Below are 21,462 nucleotides of genomic sequence, written 5' to 3' on the forward strand. Positions count from 1 at the left end.
CTATTAAAAAATTATCACGTGCTAAGCCAAGTGTAATGGATGAGTCATAAGAATCCAACATTCGTAACTCCTCCCTCAATCCACACGTTACTAACAAATCATAGCAGCATTTCTGCCAAACTTTAGGAATTTTTCTCAGCACCCTTCCTTTCAGTTCTCTTGGTAGACACTAGAAATTCCCTACAATTGAGATAATGATAAGAAATAATTTTACATTTCTGTATTTTTCAAAAACAATTAAGAGCAAAAATATACCAAAAAGCAATGATTAGTAATCCAATTCTGTATTAATGATACAATGACACTGAAAATTAGTAACAAAAGAGTAAAAAATATTGCCAAGTAAATTTAGAAGTTTTGTCTTTCAAATGCCATATTTAGACATAAATGAAAATGAAAATCAAGTCTGAAATAACAGTCTATTTGGAAAATAGTACAAATAAGAAACTTTCATTTAATATTTTTAGAAAACAGGCAAAACAATAACCAAAGTATTTGTAGCTCCAAACTTGTTATTATTAAATAACAAAGAAAATAATAAATTGACTAAGGGTTAACAAAAAAGCAAAAATTAAAGAACACAAAGCATTGTAAAGTTTAGTAAAGATGAAGAAGCGATTCTATCATTAAACATATAAAGTATTAAATAAAAAGCAGAGAAAATCTTGAGAATAAATCTACGAAAATAAGTTCTTGAAAATAACAATGATATGGCCAGGCACGGTGGCTCACACTTGTAATCCCAGCACTTTGAGAGGCCAAGGCAGGTGGATCACTTGAGGACAGGAGTTCAAAACCAGCCTGGCCAACATGGTGAAACGCCGTGTCTACTAAAAATACAAAACAATTAGCCGGGTGTGGGGCAGGTGCCTGTAATCTCAGCTACTCTGGAGGCTGAGGCAGGAGAATCACCGAACCCAGGTGGCAGAGATTGCAGTGAGCCCAGATCACGCCATTGCAATCCAGGCTGTGCAACAAGTGCGAAACTCTGTCTCAAAAAAAAAAAAAAGAAAAAAGAAAGAAAATAACAATGATATGAAGAAAACTCTAGCTATTATAATGAGAAAATACAAAAGATGAAAAAAATTGATTTTGATTTTATGTCTATGTTTTTTCCTCTTGCTTTATTCGTTTTTGATTGGAACAGCTAGAATTTTACCTATCATCGAATTGTTATCCTATGACAATTATACTTTTAAATGCAAATGATATTATAAGTATCTCCAGTAATATACATTAGCAAATTCTTAGCAAACCCTAAGGCATTTTAAAAATTTTTCTAACCATTACAATTTATCCCACTTTATTTAAAATATTTTAGACTTTAGAGTCAGAAGTGCTTTCCATATCTCTGTACAAAGTCAGCACAAGATTGTAAGGCTGAAAACAGAACTTCTAATAAACACATCTAAAATAACAAAATTGTTAGTGCATGAGTATGTGTAATTTGCAAAATCTTTAAAAATTATAAAAGTAAATTGTCAGTGTATTAAACAGATATTTTGCTATATTATTACTTCCCCTTCTATTCCTTTTTAAAGTGCTTTAAATTAGAAATGATATCATCTTATTTATCGTTTCCTTAATACCAAGCCAACACCATGTTTAATAACAAAACCTAAAGTTTTTTGAAACTCAGGAACAAAAAAATGGATGTTTACTCTCACCACTGATATTGTACTTTGTGTTGGAAATTTGATCAAATGGTATTAAACAGCAGCATAATACCAATTAAGTAAATAATAAAAAGAAAATAAAAACCATATTTACGGATATGATTCTCTCTAGAAATAATAAGAAAAGTTGTATCTTTAAATTATAAAGAACTATAGCAACTAAGCAAGATACACTTATCAGAAAAAAAGGTAAAAAGCCTGTAAAAACTTCACTTTGTAAGTACTCAATCTTTTTTGCTGCTGCAAGAAGTGAAAATCAAAATGAGATATAACCTGATACATAAGAATGGAGGAAAGTCAAAACCATAATGATTAATAATTGGCATGGTGAATGTGTAAACAAAATGGTACTCCTACACACTGTCGGTGAGAGTGTAAATGAGGACAGAGAATTTGGTTGTACCAAATCAACAACCACTCACATGTATTTTTTTTTTTGATTTAGCAATTTTCTTCAGGTTAGGTGCATTCATTTAAATAAATACTTTGAAGCCATTAAAAGTGAGGTTGCATATTTATCTTATTGATATACAGTGATGGTCAATATTCATGTGTAATTTTTTAAAAAGGAGGTTATAAACATATGTACATGAAATCCATTGTTTACTTTTCATAAAGGAGATTGTTCTTTCCACGACATGAAAGGGTAGGAAGTTGACAAAAACTAAAGGAAAATGCTTCAGGAGCTCACCTCTGGGAATTTAGGGATGAATTCTCCTAGAGACAGATCAGCTTCATGGTGACTCATCTTTGGAGTCTACTAAAAGAGTTATGTTGCTTCAAAGATGAGGCTCATTTTCATAAGGAGCCAAATTCTTAGTAAATCGAAAGAGCGGGATCCTGCTTCTACCTTCAATAGAGATCTTAAGCCACTAGCTGAGTGGCTTAAGAGCCAGTATGGCTGAATATAGTGCAGAGTGATGAAATTGAGCTTGACGTGATCCTACAATATGTCTTGAAAGCCCTGAGCAGACACCAAAGGTTAATGGAATTTTTATGAAGAGGGGGATGTACATGCAGCTCCATGAGAGACAGAATATACAGGGATAAATGACACCAACAAAAACACAGTGAATTTAAGGCACAACCCCAGTGACTAAAATCAAACAAACAGAAAATCTTTTCTGAAGGACAACAACAATATCATGGTAAATTTTGGGGAAAACAATGAATACCAGCAACAGGCTTATATAATAATTCCTACTTTCTCCTCTTAGGCATAAATTTAAAAAGAAAATATTATATACAAAATGAAAGTAATTATCTAAGATATAAAAATCAATGTTATTTGTGCATTGGTGTTTTTAAAATATCAGAACACAAAATAGGCTACACTATAAATTTATTTTCTGTAAAACTATCCGTGAGGTCATAACAGAATTGGTGATTATAATGGCTAGGTTAATTCAATGTCTATTCAAAGTAGAGAGACTGGAATGCGAAGGGAAACACTCAAGGGTAAAAATCTATGCCAGGCACAGTGGCTCACGCCTGTAATCCCAGCATTTTGGGAAGCCGAGGCTGGCGGATCACCTGAAGTCAGGAATTCAAAACCAGCCTGGCCAACATGGTGAAACCCCATCTCTACTAAAAATACAAAAAATTAGCTGGGTGTGGTGGCAACACCTGTAATCCCAGCTACTAGGTAGGCAGAGGTTGCAGTGAGCCAAGATCTCACCATTGCACTCCAGCCTGTGTGACAAGAGCGACACTCCATCTTAAAATAAATAAATAAATAATCTAGCTAATTGGGTCAGTTTTGAACACCTAATATGAAGTAGTTCAATTCTTAAGTGGACGAGATAGTCTAGGGCAGTGTGATCACCCCAGTGAATGCTCTAGAAGTACGAAGGCACCTAGAAGTTTCTCTCTTTGTATATACCTCCTTTTTCCCCCCCTTTAGGTACTTATAGACTGATTTAGGGAAAATGAAACTATAACATGAAGGAATATAGAACAGTGAAAATTAGGCATCAATAATTGACACTGTATAGTGGGAGCTGGGTTCCAGCTGAAATGCAAACATGGTTGAAACATACTATTACACATCTACAGAAATAAAAGTAGACAAGGACAGGAAAAGGGCTTATGGAAAAAAATTTAATCCTGGAATTTTAAAATTTTTTGTTGCCAGGGTAACTTACACCTAAGAATAGAATAAAGTTGTCTGGCTGGCATTTTGGAGAATAGAATCATAAAGCTTTTCAAGTCAAATTTATAATATATAAGACTGTAGCAGAAAAGGAGTTTGCTTTAGGATAGAAGCCTCATGGAAATTAGACGAAAACTAGCGAATCTATCAGTAAGGTTTATCTCAGCCTCATCTCAAATAGGAAACGGCTGGGCTTGATGTTGTATAAGAACTTGAATCCTCCTGTTGGTTAAAGGAGAACTTCCTAGACTCCTCTGGTAATCAAGACAATTATAAATTTTGATGAGAAGATGGTTACTCAAGCCAAGAAGCATGAGAAACTCAAAATATTTGAAATACGAAGATTATGCTATATAAGAATTTAGCCCACTAGTTGAGAGGCCTTATTTTGACCATGAAAAAATTTTACAGAACAGTAGTGTTCAAAGTGTCAAAAGGACAAGGGAAGAAAATTAACTAAAAAAAAATCAATTTTGAATTATTTACTAAATTATTATAGATATGAATAACATTGGAATTGCAAAAAGGTTATAACCTGAAAAAAATTCATTGAAAATATTCCCAGAGTTAAAAATCTTTGGAGAATTTCAGAAAATTGATTGGAATCAGTTTTAAATCATGTAGGATCCACTCAAGCATGTGGCCTTACCGAATCAATGTATCAGCTTCTTCCTCCAGAGATTAGTAGTTTTCTGCAGAGAAGATTGGACTAGCTGGTTTCCTCATGCTGTGTTTCATGGTAGTTCACACTCAAAAGTGAATTTTACATCTTAGGATCCATACAACTCCTCTTCGTTAATACAATTTACTGGGTTTACAACAGTTTTCTTAAAGTGGTTCGCAGACCAGCAGCTTAAGGATCACCCCAGACCTGCTGAACGCTAGAGCTACCGAAAGAGAAAGTCCTAAGGTGGGGCCAATAATTGGTGTTTTACCAAGACCTCCAGGTGATTCTCATTAACTTAAAGTTTGTGATCCTCTGGGCCAGAGATACAGAGACTGACATTTAATCTGGAAATTTGATTGTAAGGCTGACATTTCCAGAAAAATAGGTGATTATACTTGATATAAAAGACGTGGTAACATTGTTCTTAAAATGTTAACAAATGCCTTCAGAAAGCACATGAGTTTGGAGATGGAGGGAGAGAAATCAAATGGAGGGGGCAAAAGAGAGAGCAAGGAAAAATCAAATGGAGAGGGAGAAAGGGAAGGAGGAGGGTCATATGATGGGCAGAGAAACCAGATTGAAAGAGAGAAATCAGATGGGGGGAATTCCACATGAAGGGAGATACAACTAATAGAAGGAACCGGATAGAGGAAGAAAAGAGTGGTGGAGAGAAAGAGGGGCACCTGATTTAAACTGCCCCCAGAATATTCTGCTTTTAGCGGGATTAACTCTGCATCCCTGGGAAAGTTTAGACAGATCAGTTCCTTTACTTCTCACTGTGTGAAGAGTTAGAGGTAGGACTGAACATTTTGAAGTGAGGAAACCCAGAGGATTTTTTATATTTCAGTGGAAAGAAAAAGACACTATAGAAAATATAGGCCTTGCTGATAATATGGGCTTGTGAAGATTGTGTTGGGTTTAATTTGAAAAGTGAAAGAAACAAAATAGTGTTTAACCCCACCTGGAGAAGTGGGCCATACCAATTTTCTATTACGTTCCAATAATAAGTATTATGTTTCCTAATAACAACCTGCTTTTGTTAATTTTTCTGTAATAAATAATTTATATTTTTCACACTAATTTTATAATTAGCACAAAAGAAAATAAGATATCAACACTTCCTTCTCCTTTGCACCACACACTTCAGCCTCCTGCCTCTCTCCCCTGACCCCCACAAACACCAACTCGGCAATCTGTTGCTTTCTAATGGCCATTGGTTGGAAGCTCATTGGGATGTTCTTAGGAAAGTCTTGCTTCTGATGCATTGGAAGTAGTCCAAAATTTCTGAAATGCCAAGCATTTTGGTTTTAAATTTATTTCCATGTTTTAATTTTCTGGTTTATTTTTAATTTATATTTTCATCAAATACTATGTAAATATTCCTACAATAAATACAAATATTTCTTATAGAATATAGTGTCTTCAGAAAGTAAAATATTATAGTGCCTTTCCATTTCTAACTTATCATGCCACCTATATGTAACTACTTTAAGATGTTTAACTATTTCTGTGTTTTTGTTTATCTCAATATTTCCAAATAAAATACTTTACATTTATTACTTAATTAAAAAAACACATTTAGACATTATTCATTGACTTTATCCTATGGAAGAGAAGTATTTAAATTTCTTACTCTCCTCTTTACCCCAAAACAGACACACACATACACACACATAAACACACACACACACACAGATACACACACCAAGCCCTTATTTCATTCTCCCAATATAAAATTAGGTTAATTTTGTGATAAATTAATATTCATTTTATATAATTATGACTTTAGTGATATCATTTATAGCTGAAAGAGGTAGTATGCATTTACTTTTACAGAACATTTTTGTTTTTCTGGCAGTTATTAATCACTTTAGTTTTGTTTACTTATTCTAAGTACCCAGTCATAATTACTTCCCCATATACCTCAATATGCAAAATACACTGGATATTCTCTCAGCCTCAGTCTTTTTGTCCTTAGAAGTGCCTCTTCTGAAGGGGTAGATCCTAGATCCGCAGTCTCACTGCAGTGTCTTCCGGGGTGACTCTTCACCTTCATCCTGGGAAGGTTTACCTCCTATTTTCTGGTTTGGATCCTCAGTTTCCTAAATTCCTCATCTTTTTCCTTACTTGACTTCCTATTTTAAGTGAAGTGTATTATTTTTAGGTTGGACCTCTTGAGAACTAAAAATATGCACACATTGTAGATCTGAAAACCATTTTTTTTCTACCTTTCTCTTATTACCTTGAGGGCAGTAATCTTAAGTTTTGGAGTTTTTTTCAAAAGTTTAACATGCTCCTCATCTTTGTATTTCCTCTGAATTCTCTCCCCACCTTCCAACCCCCAACTGACTTTGGTCTGTCGCTGTGAAGTTAGAGAATTTCTTAACATATATTGTTATGCTTCACTCTCCACTTATATTGAAAAATAAAAAACCAAAAACTGTGGTTTGAAATTCCATGTATTCATTGTGAGTGGCTTTCCAGCTACTAACTTTATTGCACTGTGATCAAGCAGAGACCTGGCTGATTTGTTTAAGAACTCTCTCTCTTGGAGTCTGTATTCTTTTTCCTAGAGCCAGTCAGTCAGTGACAGTCAGTGGAAGTGGCCTGGTCACCCACATTTTTAGAGCAGAATAGGGAAAAAGACCTTGTTAGCTTTGTTTTGTGAGTAGCCTTTTACTTAATTTCTCCTCTATAGTATTGCACCACATCCCTGGGCTCTGTGTACTGCTCAAGAATGCAATGGGCTGTTCACACAGGATAAAAGAGAGAATTCAGGAGTTTAACTGTTTGCTCATAAAGCTTTCAACCAGTTCTTTGATTTTCAGTCTCGCCATGGTCCCACCCTTAGGAATGACTGATGAGTACAATGCCTGTCTTTTGAGTGTTCAGCTAGTTTAGTGGCTTTCTCTCTGCTACCCACTTAGTTTGATGGTTCTAATCTGTTGAGTAATCTACTTATTTATTCTACTGTTTCCTCTCCCATGCTCTTTGTTCCCTTTGATCGTAATTTTAATAGGTTTTAGAAAAAATAGAAAACCATGTACTACATTGGCCATATTTAACAGGAGTACCTATAAATTTATCTTTAAATTAAAATGATACCATTTTGTCTAATGTACTGTAAATAATTTTTCTAGATGCTTGAATGTCTTTGGAATGTATGCCTTTATAAATTTTACATTTTAATATGACACCTTATCTGTTTTTCCTGTAACTGCTTCTCAATCTTCTGTCATATTTAGAAAAGCCTCCCCATTTTAAGATGTACAAATACTCACTCTCATTCTCTTCTAGAAAGTGATAGTTTTATTTCATAAATCAGTAGTCTGATAAATTTTTAATTGGTGTAATTTCTTTTCCACCATTGATTAGAAATGCTATTTATATTAAAATAAATTCATATAGATAAGTACATATATTTATATATAAGGTATACATATGCGTATGACTCATGTATGTGAGTCATAGTCTCCCTCAGTAGGTGTTGATTTAACACCCCAGAACATATTTTAATACCTTGTTTTAATGTATTTTCTCAAACTCGTATAGTTTTTTCTTTCTTTCAACTTTTATCCTCTATATATACATAGTAAAACAAGTTTTATTTTTGTTTTATATGAGACCATATAGAATTTATGTCTGAATTTAGAGTTTAAAACATTGAGACTTTCTACCCAAGAACATGCAAAGCAATTGAAAGCATTTAATATCTTTCTTAAATCCTTTATTATAATTTTGAGATTTTCTTTTGTTATGCATTTATAACAGTTTATTCCTAGGTATTTTATCTTTTGGGTTACTATTATAAATAAGATATTTTATTTCATTTTATTTTCTAAGTGACATTTATTTCTTATTGGAAATCTATACATTTCTCATGTTAATTTTTCAGTAGACCACAATATAAAATTATTTTATTTCTAACAGGTTTTTAAATCAATTTTTTAATTTTACTATATTTATAATCATATCATCTATAAACCACAATAATTGTGTTTCTTCCTATCCAATTTATACTTCATTTTTTGACTTGTTCATATACTTACCTACTTTCAGGAGCCTACATTAATAGCAGGCATTATTGATTGTAATGCAAAATGCTTTTAGTACATCAACATAAAGCTAAATAAAAACTACTTTTTATCTGGTTTATCACTTGCTGTCTTAAATTCCACCTTGATACATCAAGTCTGTAGTTCCAGCCTTGTTCTCATCGTGATCTCTCCAGTAAGTTTTTCTATTATATATTTTCTAATTCTTCTAAGTCAGATTGTTATAATGAACCTCTTAAACAACCGAGAATTGGTCTGTTTTAGTTTGATTTTTAAGGTAATTTCATAGATGTTAGTAACCAATATATCTTTTATGTGTTTATAATATTTTTGTTTTCTGTTTTGAAATGTGAATTGTGTTTTATTTCTTTATTTTGTGAATTGGTGATGTGATTTATTTCTTATAATTTTGAAATATTTGGTTTTGATCCTCTATAAGTTATACTTTTAAAGGTGCATAATCTACTTAGTTTTGTGCTTCTTGAAACAGATACACTAAAATCAATCAGACCAATATTTTCTGTTAATAATACATTTCCGGTTTTTGTAGCACACTCTTTACTTCATACAATGGAATTCATAATGTATCCTACCTACACACCTAATATTAAAAATTAACCAAGATAATTCCCTAACTCTAATATAAACAACATAAAAGGCCACTAATTTATAAGAGCACTATTTCTATGCAAAAATATTAAAGAATAACTGAACTAGAAGATACATTGCAGTGGTTAGCTGTTTGCACCCATACACAGAATTACCGTGGTTTGGCAGCCATAAATAAGGACTGATAATAGTCGTTTCCTAATAGACACTGAAGTAGGATGATGTATTTTTTTCAATATGGTTAAGAAATTCTAAGAAATTTCTGAATGAACAATAATATTTATTTCTTTAACATAAAAGATTCATTCCTGATATAGTCAATGATTATTAAAATTGTGTAAAAATATTTCATGCCAATATGTGATGTGAAATTCATATCTAGGCTTAGATATTTATATGTAGGTTTTATATACACATTAACATATGCTGCAACTTTTAGAAATTGTGCAATCCATGAAAAACGTTTTCTTTGCCTGAACTATTCTGTGCATTGAAAGATTTATAACTTTCATCATTCACTACCCACATGCTAAATGTCAACTGTTCCAGCCAATTATTCTGAATATTGACAATGACTCTAGAAATTGCCAAGGTGCCCCCAGAAGACAAAACAGTCCTCCTGAAAGCACTGAGCTAAAATAAATTTCTCCAATTTACAAAAGCACTCATCACCTTTCACCTAACCATGTACTAGTACGTCAAGCATTTTGTCATCATAATTAATAAATTCAAATAAATGGTAATATATATGTGTACATTGGTACTCAGTACTAAGATAAATGGCTATCACATTGAAAGCTTTTCAGTGAGAAGTACATCAATGTTGATAAAATATCAGTTTTGATGAAAATTATAGTGGCCTACACATTTTATTAAAAATTTGAAAGTATTCTGTAAAGAAATTTTCTTTGAGAAATTAAATTGGACTAAAATACTTTATGAATGTATTGCTAACTGCATTATTAAATATATAAATTTTAAAATATAGTTAAATTTGAAACAAGTGAATAATATGATAAAAAGTAAAAAGCAGAAGCCTACTGGGTAAAAATCTATAAGTTGAAAATATGATCTTATGTGAAAATATTATAATTATTAGTTTTTTATTACTTATATTTTTAATGAAAAAATTTTCTAGGAATAGAAAAAATGAAATGTATTACTTTACTTATTATCCTGAGTCCTAAAGTTATGACCCAAATGCCTTATAAACTGTGGATGCTCCACTAATGTTGCTTTAATATTGCCAACAAATGCATTTTAAACTTGAACAAGCTATGCTCAAGACAAAGGTCATCTTTTTAAATATTCTGCACAAAAGCCTGCAAGAAATTCCACGTCTTGGAAGATAATTTGAACAGCAATACAAAAAGATTATACCTATAAAAACTATTTAATTATAAATGAAAATAAAAATCTGGTTCAGGTAGTACAAAATTACATAACATGCATAAAAACATTTTATTGTTTGAGATATGAAATTAAAGTATGAAAAGTCATAAAACCTGAAGCTATAATATAGTCAAACTTTTATTTTAAATATATAATATACTTATTTGGGGAAAATATATGAAAGATAATTGTGTATAGATGAGTGAAGTTTCAACCCATACAAGAGTTGAAACTTTATTATCCAAAATCGCTTCATTTAATGAAGTTTATCATAAAAATTTTGGTATGCGTATGGGTAATACAATGATATGTACTCTAGAATTGCTTAAATGAACAATTTCTATATCATTTTACTGTCAGGATTTAAGAAGCAAGATTATTTGGTTTTCCAAGGCATAATAAAGGGTGAAAATATATCAGTGCATGTAAGTGCCTTGGACAAAAAGATTTAAACACTTGATCTAGTGGTATCAAGACTGGCCCAAACCCAAAAATATATTCAATATGGTGTTTTCATATGTAGTTCTATATCCTTTTTGTTTTGAAGTTAAAATGTAAGCACATAAAACTTTTACTTGAAGGCAGAAAAGTTTGCATAGTATAGCAAAAATAAATAAATAAACCTAAACTATTCAACTTGTTAATAAAATCACTGACATCATGGCAGAAATTACAATAGTCTTAGAATAAATAATTACTAGACTTCTTGGATAAGAAATAATTTAAGAAAATCCTGGTCAAATTATACTATATTTTTGTGGCAAATTCACATAAAGCTCTATTTATACAATCCTCCTGACTCTATAGAAATAGTTTCCGAAACTATACCTGATTTTCTTATGGACTTTTAGATTTTACACTTTGAAATAGAACTTTTGCTTCTAACTGCAAATTATGTTTTGGTTAAATTTAACATTACACAGAAAATGTGAATTTCCTAAAATAGCCTGTAAAGGAAACAGGTTTAATTTAAAACTTCCAGAAAGAAAGCCAGAAGACACATTGCTATAATCAAGCAACTTGTATGTTCAGAAAGTGAAAAAATAATTACTTTAGTACTTTAAAAATGTGTTCACCTTCTAAATGAAATAGAACAACCATGGAATGTGTTCTGAAGAGTATATAATGTTACCTATGTATAGTACACTACCTGGGGACAGGTATCATGTCACATCGTCATAACGTTTTGAACAATATCTTCCAATTAGAGGATATTCAAAATAATAAATGTACAAATGAATATATTTTATTCTGTTATAATATTTCTGGTAGCAAGTAGGGATTGGTGACTTAGACATAAATTTGAGGCTTCAAAAAGAGGTGGGATTCATGAACACTTCACAGTCTGGGCCTGGTATTAAGAAATTATCATCCCATACTTAGCAAATCTTTCCGGTCTTAAGTAACAATATGGCTGGTGTGATTTTTTTTTTTTTGGATCATTACACATTTTATAAATTCCCAGAAATTTATTTTGTTACGTTTAAAACAAATGAAGTTTTGGTTTTTTTGATAGTCTTTATTGTTTATCTGTATTTTGTATTATTAATTTTACTCTTCATTTTATGATTTCCTTCTTTCTACTTATTTTATTTAGGTTTAGTTTCCTCTCTTGTCCATTGTGTTGAGGTGGAAGTTTAGGCTATTGAGGTATTTACAGCTGTAATTTTTTTTCCAAGCACTGCATCACCCACATCCCATTAGTTTTGGTATCCGTTTTCGGTAATCTCAAACTCTTTTCCAATTTCTCTTGTAATTTCATTTTGATCCATTGTTTAATATAGATTCTGTTATTTAACTTCCATATAATTGTAAATTTACCAAGTTACTTGTTTTTGATGTTTAATCTCATTCAGTTTTGGTTAGATGTCCTTTTCATTATTTCAATTTTTTGAAATACATTACAGTTTCTTTTGTAGCACAGCGTAGCATACGGTCTATCCTGGAAAATGTGCCATGTTGTTGGGTAATGTGTTTTATAGCTATCTGCTATTTCTAGATGATTCACAGTGTTGTTCACAGGCCTTGTCTGTGTCAGCGCTACCTGCGGTGTGTGGCAGCTGCACGCCCCTTCCCTGTGGCAGAGCTGGCTAGAGCCACTGCCTGAAGAAACTCGGCTCTGTCCTCCGCTCCGGGGAGGAGAATGTGGCCAGTGGATGCTGAGTTCCTTCTGTTGCCTTCCGCAGCCCACAGCTAAGTCACTCTGAAGAGCATCTCGCTGGCCTGCGCTTCTGCTTCCCGTTGCCTTCTAGGCGGTTCTGACCGTGACATCCCTTTGCTCCTCCGCTTGTGCCCTTGAATCCTACATTAAGGGAAATGGGGGTTCTGTTTTGAAACAAAATGAGAAAGAATCATAACCTTCAACTTCAAAACACTTCCAGTCTCCTGAAGATTTTTCAGATTCAGAGATCTCCACCCATTTTCCCAGAGTCCTTGAAATGTTTCCTGGAGCCGCGCCTCTCCCAGTGCTCTGGCTGGAGACAGTAGCAGGGGCTGTCTTCCTCTGCGTCCTCGTAAGCACCCAGTTTGGGGTGGAAGAGGCAAAAAGAAAACCCAGGAACGCCCCACCCTATCGTTCTCAGGGTCCCCAGGGTCGCCCGGCTCCCCCGGGCTTCCTCTCTCCGCCTCTCGTCTTCCTGAGTTTGTTTGATGGGCACTGCCCGAGGTTTCCAGTTGCACCTGCGGGAAGGAGGAAACTGCACACCTGTTCCATCTTCTTAGGAGGGGAAGTCTGAGGCTTTTTGAATGACCACCGTGTAGCGCCTTAATTCTCCTTCACTTTCAGCAGTTTTGTCTGCCCCACCTCAGGAAGACTGTCTGTGTTCTTTCCTCCATAGCCCGGGCACCGAAGGCACATGCCGTGCATATAAGCTTCCTGTCTCGTTTGAGACTCTACTTGAGCTCATTATTGCTTCAGTTTAATCTGCGCACGTTTCACCCTAGGAGAGTACTGCCCAGATGTGGCAGCTTTTTCTTACAGATGGTCCGAGGCTATTCTTGCCCTAAAACTTCAGATGCTCACATAAAACCATCCTTCCTAACAACACAGGCTTTCCCATTTCTACGAGGTTGACCTTTACACCTGAAGAGTCATTGAAGCCCAGCTGGTGATAAAGAAGTGAATATTTCAAAAAATGGAGGGAGGATAGAATCTGGTCTCTCGTTTTCAGGTGATTCCAGTTGCTTGATTCAGTCTCGCTGGAATGTCTGAGCATTTGTGGAAAAAGCCCTTAACTCGATTTGCCAAACCCCATAAAGTAGGAGCTGAACTGACATTTAAAATTGGAACAGCCTTCATTTTGGGAGGCCGAGGCGGGCGGATCACCAGGTCAGGAGATTGAGACCACGGTGAAACCCCGTCTCTACTAAAAATACAAAAAAGTAGCCGGGCGCAGTGGCGGGCGCCTGTAGTCCCAGCTACTCGGGAGGCTGAGGCAGGAGAATGACGTGAACCCGGGAGGCGGAGCTTGCAGTGAGCTGAGATCGAACCAGTGCACTCCAGCCTGGGTGACAGACCGAGACTGCGTCTCAAAAAAAAAGAAAAGTTGGAACATCCTTCTGGTGCTTGCAGTCTTACTTGTGTCCTTTAAATCTTTCCTGGAACAGGGTTGAGACCGTATAAATGTATAAATGCATGCAAACAGGCAATGAACAGTGTTCATTCCAGCCTCATGTCGAAACCCCTGGAACATGTTTTCTCTCTTGTCTTTTTTTCCTCACTCCATGCAGGTCAAGTCATAGGCCTTTTTCTTTTTCTTCTTTTTTTTTTTTTTTGGTCAGATTCTCACTGTGTCACCCAGGCTGGAGTGCAGTGGCGCAATCTCGGCTCACTGCAACCTCCACCTCCCAGGTTCAAATGATGCTCCTGCCTTAGCCTCCCCAGTAGCTGGGATTACGGGCACGCCCCCACACCCAGCTAAAATCATAGGCTTTGTCAGCTGTACCCGCAGCCTCCCTGTGCACCCAGCCACGGTTAGAGGGCGCTGTCTTGACGCTGACACTGACCCTTGCTCTTTGCCGTTGTGCCGCTCACTCTGCATCCCTATTCGCAGCAGCTTAGTCTTGCCTCTTTCAAAAAAATTTTAACCAACAATAATTGTATATATTTATTAGGTACAATGTGAAGTTTTGATATATGTTTTCATTGTGGAATGATAGAATCAAGCTAAATAACTTATTACTGCACAGACATCTTTTTTTGTGAAGAAAACATTGAAAATATGTTATTTTAGCAATTTTGAAATATACATTATTATTGACTGTCGTCAGCATGCTCTGCAGTAGATCACTAGAACTTCTTTTAAAAAAGTAACACATTTAACTTTATTTCTTCATTTTTCACTTAAAGCTTGATTTTATAAAACATAAATTTTTTCAAGAGTTCTGTATCACAAGACATTAAACCGCAGAAATATCCATTGCTTCATAGGTTCAAGTTATATAAATTAAATCTGTAAATTTATTCAATATGGAAAGCTATATGATGAAATAAATGTCAAAAGGACCCAATAGAGCAATATTGCATTGCTTATGGATTATTAGTTACTTACAGGATCTAAACAAAGATTCTAAATATTTAGGCTTCTTTCATTGTATTTTATATTTAAATATCTCCCTACCTGTACTGAGTCAAGCTACTTGACCAAAATGTCTGATTTAAGGAAGCATTTCATTTTATAGCAAAAGTTTTTCCATCTACAGTTACCATCTGCAAAGGAATTTACATTACAGTGCTGACAAAAACCTCCTGGTTCCTTTTGAACAATGTGCAATAAATTCATTATGTCAACCCCATGGTAAGTCAAACAGATATCAAAAAATCGGAACAATTACACAAAGTTCAGTAAAGTATAATATTGGTTTTTCCCATGTAAACATTAATCAATGAAATGAAACATATCAGCTATAGTTGACTTGGTTTCAGGAAAACCACATTTGAAAATTACATTATCTTCCTAGTGTCATCCTTGGTCATTGACAAGATTTTGTCATGCTGTGAGCTGTGTGGATGTAGCAGTAAATGAATAAAGGCAAACTTCCTCAGAATGGTTATGAACTGTGGTCCCCACTCTTCCCGTCTTCCAGGTACAACCAGATCTTTGCATAAATCAAAGATCAAATGAACAAGAAACTTCCACCAGTGTCAGAAATGTCACTAACTGTGGGGCATCTGATTGCAGGATGGATTTTGTCCTGGATAGCTTTCTGAGGCTTTTCTCAGGGTCCACTGTCGTCTTTTCTCAGGGTGCACTGTCTTTTCTCTGGGTTCACTGTTGCCTTTTCTCTGAGTGAACCATCATCTTTTCTGTGGGTTCCACATCGTCTTTTCTCAGAGTTCACCATTAACATTTCTCTAAGTTCACTGTCATCTTTTCTCTGGGTTCACTGTTGCATTTTCTGTGGGTTAACTGTCGTCTTTCCTCTGGGTGAACCATCATCTTTTCTCTGGGTTCACCTTTGTCTTTTCTCTGGGTTCACTGTTACATTTTCTTTGGATTCACTGTTGTCTTTTCCGTGGGTTCACTGTTGTCTTTTCTCTGAGTTCACAGTCGTCTTATCTCAGGGTTCACTGTCGTCTTTTCTCTGGGTTCACCGTCGTTTTTTACCTGGGTTCACCGTCATCTTTTCTCTGGGTTCACTGTTGTCTTTTCTCTGGGTTCACTGTCGTATTTTCTCTGGGTTCATTGTCGTCTTTTCTCAGGGTTCACTGTTGTATTTTCTCTGGGTTCACTGTCATCTTTTCTTTCGGTTCACTGTCGTATTTTCTCTTGGTTCACTGTCATCTTTTCTCAGGGTTCACTATTGTATTTTCTCTGGGTGCAAGGTCATCTTTTCTCTGGGTTAACTGTCATCATTTTTCTAGGCTCAATGTCATATTTTCTCTGGGTTCACCGTCGTCTTTTCTCTGGGTTCGCCGTCGTTGTTTTTCTGGGTTCACTGTCATATTCTCTGGGTGCACCATCATCATTTCTCTGGGTTCACTGTCATCTTGTCTCTGAGTTTATTGTCAAATTTTCTCTACGTTCACCGTTGTCTTTTCCATGGGTTCACTGTCATATTTTCTCTGGGTTCACCATTGTCTTTTCCATGGGTTCAATGTCTGTTCTCTGGGTTCGCCATCGTCTTTTCTCTGGGTTCACTGTCATCTTTTCTCTGGGTTCACCGTCATCTTTTCTCTTGGTGCCATCATTTTTTTCTCTGGGTTCACTGTCATCTTTTCTCTTGGTTCACGGTCTGTTATCTAGTTCACTGTCATCTTTTCTCTGGGTGCACTGTCTTCATTAATCTGGGTTCACTGTCATCTTTTCTCTGGGTTCACCGTCGTTTTTCTGGGTTCACTGTCAAATTCTCTGGGTGCATCATCGTCCTTTCTCTGGGTTCACTGTAATCTTTTCTCGGGGTTCACTGTCAAATTTTCTCTACGTTCACCATCGTCTTTTCTAGGGGGTTCATCGTCATCTTTTCTCTGGGTTCACTGTTGTCTTTTCTATGGGTTCACTGTTGTCTTTACTCTGGGTTCACTGTTGTATTTTCTCTGGGTGCAAAATTGTCTTTCCTCTGAGTTCACTGTCATCTTTTCTCTGGGTGCATGATCATCTTTTCTCTGAGTTCACCATCGTTGTTTTTATGGGTTTCCGGTCATATTTTTTCTGGGTTAACTGTCAAATTTTCTCTACATTGACCATCGTCTTTTATCTGGGTTCACTGTCATCTTTTCTTTGGGTTCACTGTCATCTCTTCTTTGGGTTCACCATCGTCTTTTCTCTGGGTTCACCGTCGTCTTTTCTCTGGATTCACTTTTGTCTTTTCTCTGGGTTCACTGTTGTCTTTTCTCTGGGTTCACTGTTGTCTTTTCTCTGGGTTCACCATCGTCTTTCCTCTGGATTCACTGTCATCTTTCCTCTGGGTTTACTGTCGTCTTTTCTGTGGTTTCACCATCATCTTTTCTCTGGATTCACTGTCGTCTTTCCTCTGGGTTCACTGTTGTCTTTTCTCTGGATTCACCGTCGTCTTTTCTCTGGGTTCACTGTTCTCTGAGTTCACTGTTGTATTTTCTCTGGGTTCACTGTCATCTTTTCTCTGGGTTCACCATCGTCTTTTCTCTGGGTTCACTGTTGTATTTTCTCAGGGTGCAAGGTCGTCTTTTCTCTGGGTTCACTGTAGTCTTTTCTTTGGGTTCACTGTCATAATTTCTCCGAGTTCACTGTTGTCTATTCTCTGGGTGCACCGTCATCTTTTCTCTGGGTTCATCTTTGGTTTTTTTTCTGGGTTCACTGTCATATTTTCTTGGGTGTGCCATCATCATTTCTCTGGGTTCACTGTCATCCTTTCTCTGGGTTCCTGTCGAATTTTCTCTACATTCACCATTGTCTTTTTCTCTGGGTACATTGTCGTCTTTTCTATGGGTTCACTGTTGTATTTTCTCTTGGTTCAGCATTGTCTTTTCTCTGGGTTCACCATCAACTTTTCTCTGTTTTCACTGTCGTCTTTTCTCTGGGTTCACTATCATCTTTTCTCTGGGTTCACTTTGTATGTTCTATGGGTTCACCGTTGTCAATTCTCTGTGTGCACCCTCGTCTTTTTTCTGGGTTCACCATTGTCAATTCTCTGTGTTCACTATCGTATATTCTCTGGGTGTACTGTCATTTTTCCTCTGGGTTCACTGTCATATTTTCTCTGGCCCCACAGTTGTATATTCTCTGGGTCACCATTGTCTTTTCCCTGGGTTCACTGTCATCTTTTCTCTGGGTTCACCGTTGTCTTTGCTCTGGGTTCACAGTTGTCTTTTCTTTAGGTTCACTGTCATCTTTTCTCTGGGTTCACGGTCGTCTTTGCTCTGGGTTCATCGTCATCTTTTCTCTGGGTGCACCATCATTTCTCTGGATGCACCATCATTTTCTCTCTGGGTGGGTTCACTGTCGTATTTTCTTTCAGTTCACTGTCATATTCTCTGTGGGTGCACTGTTGTATTTTCTCTGACTTCACTGTCATCTTTTTTCTGGGTTTACCATCATCTTCAGTCTGAGTGTACTGTCATCTTTTCTCTGGGTTCACTGTCATCTTTTCTCTGGGTTTACTGTCATCTTTTTTCTGGTTTCACCTTTTGTCTGGGTTCACCATTGTCTTTTCTCTGGGTGCACTGATATCTTTTTATTGGCTGCACTGTCGTCTTTTCTCTGGGTTCACTGTTGAATATTCTCTGGGTTCACTGTGGTCTTTTTTCTGGGTTTACTGTTGTATGTTCTCTGGGTGCACTGTCTTCTTTTCTCTATGTGCATCATCGTCTTTTCTCTGGGTGTACTGTCATCTTCTCTCAGGGTGCACCATCATCTTTCTCTGCGTTTTTCTGTTGTATTTTCTCTGTGTTCACTGTCAACTTTTCCCTGTGTTCACTGTCGCCTTTTCTCTGGGTTCACTGTTGTGTTTGCTCTGGGTTCACAGTCGTCTTTTCATTAGGTTCACTGTCGTCTTTTCTCTGGGTTCACTGTCATCTTTTCTCTGGGTTCACTGTCGTCTTTGCTCTGGGTTCACCATGGTCTTTTCTCTGGGTGCACCACCATCTATTCTCTGGGTACACTGTCATCATCCCTCTGGGTGGGTTCATTGTCTTATTGCCTTTGGGTTCGCTGTCGTATTTTCTCTAGGTTCACTGTCATATTCTCTGTGGGTGCACTGTTGTGTTTTCTCTGATTTCACCATCGTCTTTTTTTCTGGGTTTACCATCAACTTTACTCTGGGTGCACTGTCTTCCTTTCTCTGGGTTCACCATCATCTTTTTTCTGGGTTCACCATCGTCTTTTCTCTGGGTGAACCGTTGTCTTTTCTCTGGGTGAACCGTTGTCTTTTCTCTGGGTTCACTGTTGTCTTTTCTCTGGGTTCACTCTTGTCTTTTCTCTGGAATCACTGTTGTATTTTGTATGTGTTCACCGTCATCTTTTCTCTGGATTCACTGTCGTCTTTATTCTGGGCGCACCATCGTCTTTTCTCTGGATGCACTGTCATCTTTCCTCTGGGTTTACTGTTGTATTTTTTCTGGGTGCACTGTCATCTATTCTCTGGGTACACTGATGTTTTTTCTCTGGGTTCACTGTCATATTTTCTCTGGGTTTGCCATCGTCTTTTCTCTGGCTTCACTGTCGTATTTTCTTGGGTTCACGGTCAGGGTGCCCTTTCGTCTTTTCTCTGGGTTCACCATCATCTTTTCTCTGGGTTCACTGTCATAGATTCTCTGGGTTTACTGTCGTTTTTCCTCTGGGTTTACTGTCGTTTTTCCTCTGGGTTCACTGTTGTATTTTCTTTGGATTCATTGTTGTATTTTCTCTGGGTTCACTGTTATCTTTTCTCTGGGTTCACTGTCATACATTCTCTGGGTTTACTGTCGTTTTTCCTCTGGGTTCACTGTTGTATTTTCTCTGGGTTCATTGTTGTATTTTCTCTGGGTTCACTGTTATCTTTTCTCTGGGTTCACTGTCATCTTTTCTCTGGGTTCACTGTCATCTTTTCTCTGGGTTCACTGTTATCTTTCATCTGGGTGCACCTTCATCTTTTCTCTGGGTTCACTGTTGTGTTTTCTCTGGGTGCAGCATCGTCTTTTCTCTGGGTTCACTGATGTTTTTTCTCTGTGTTCACTATCGTATATTATCTGGGTACACTGTCATGTTTTGTCTGGGTGCATCATCGCCTTTTCTTTGTGTTCACTGCCATCTTTTCTCTGGGCTAACTGTCATCTTTTCTCTGGGTTCATCATTGTCTTTTCTCTAGGTTCGCTGTCGTCTTTTTTCTGGGTGCAGCATCATCTTTTCTCGGGTGCACCATCGTCTTTTCTCTGGGTTCACCATCTTCATTTCTCTGGTTTCAATGTTGACTTTTCTCTGGGTTCACTGTTGTATTATCTCTGGGTTCACTGTCATGTTTTCCTTAGGTTCACATTCTTCTTTTCTCTGGGTTCACTGTTGTATTTTTTCTGGGTTCACTGTCGTCTTTTTTCTGGTTTCACTGTTGTCTTTTCTCTGGGTTCACTGTTGTATTTTCTCCAGGTTCACTGTCTTTCTGTCTGTGTTCACTGTCTTTTTCTGTCTGTGTTCACTGTCATCTTTTCTCTGGGTTCACAGTCATCTTTTCTCTAGGTGCACCTTTGTCTTTTCTCTGGGTTCACTGTCCTTTTCTCTGGGCTCTCCGTCACCTTTTATGTGGGTTTACTGCTGTATTTTCTTGGGGTGCATCGTCCCCTTTCATCTGGGTTTACTGTTATCTTTTCTCGGTGTTCACTGTCATATTTTCTCTGGATTCACCATTGTCAATTATCTGGGATCACCATCTTCTCTTCTCTGGGTGCACCGTTGTCTTTCCTCTGGGTTCTCCATTGTTGAAACTTTGGGTTCGCTGTCATATATTCTGGGTGCACCATCCTTTAAACTGTGAGTTCACTGTCATCTTTTCTTTAGGTTCACTGTCAATTTATCTCTGTGTTCACTGTCGCCTTTTCTCTGGGTGAACTGTCATCATTTGTATGGATTCACTGTTTTATTTTCTCTGGGTTCACCTTCATCTTTTCTCTGGGTTAATCATTTTCTTTTCTCTGGGGTCACTGTCATCTTTTCTCAGGGTTCACTGACATCTTTTCTCTGGGTTCACTGTCGTCTTTTCTCTAGGTGCACCATCATCTTTTCATTGGGTTCACTGTTGTATAATCTCTTGGTACACTGTAGTGTTTTTTCTGGGTGCATCGTCATCTTTTCTCTTGGTTCACTGTCATCTTTTTTCTGGGGTCACTGTCATATTTTCTCTGGGGTCACTGTTGCATTTTCCCTGGATTCACTGTCATCTTTTTTCTGGGTTCAATGTCATCTTTTCTCTGGGTTCACCATCGTCTTTTTCTGGGTGCACTATCATCTTTTCTCTGGATTGACC

At 36.6% G+C, this 21,462-nt stretch overlaps 1 pseudogene, besides 1 other annotated feature; it reads left to right on the forward strand.

Moving 5' to 3' along the window:
• Nucleotides 1-21,462, forward strand: part of LOC107986665 (plasminogen-like protein B) — a 124,780-nt pseudogene that overhangs the window by 50,728 nt on the left and 52,590 nt on the right.
• Nucleotides 16,471-17,670: an enhancer, noted in NCBI's record as "BRD4-independent group 4 enhancer chr6:161262159-161263358 (GRCh37/hg19 assembly coordinates)". NCBI's record gives its function as "activates an origin of replication core promoter dependent on BRD2, P300/CBP, MED14 and CDK7 cofactors, and independent of BRD4, by STARR-seq in HCT116 cells {active_cell/tissue: HCT116}" and the evidence as "EXISTENCE:reporter gene assay evidence [ECO:0000049][PMID:35650434]".

Source organism: Homo sapiens, chromosome 6, assembly GCF_000001405.40.
Source record: "Homo sapiens chromosome 6, GRCh38.p14 Primary Assembly".
NCBI lineage: Eukaryota > Metazoa > Chordata > Mammalia > Primates > Hominidae > Homo > Homo sapiens.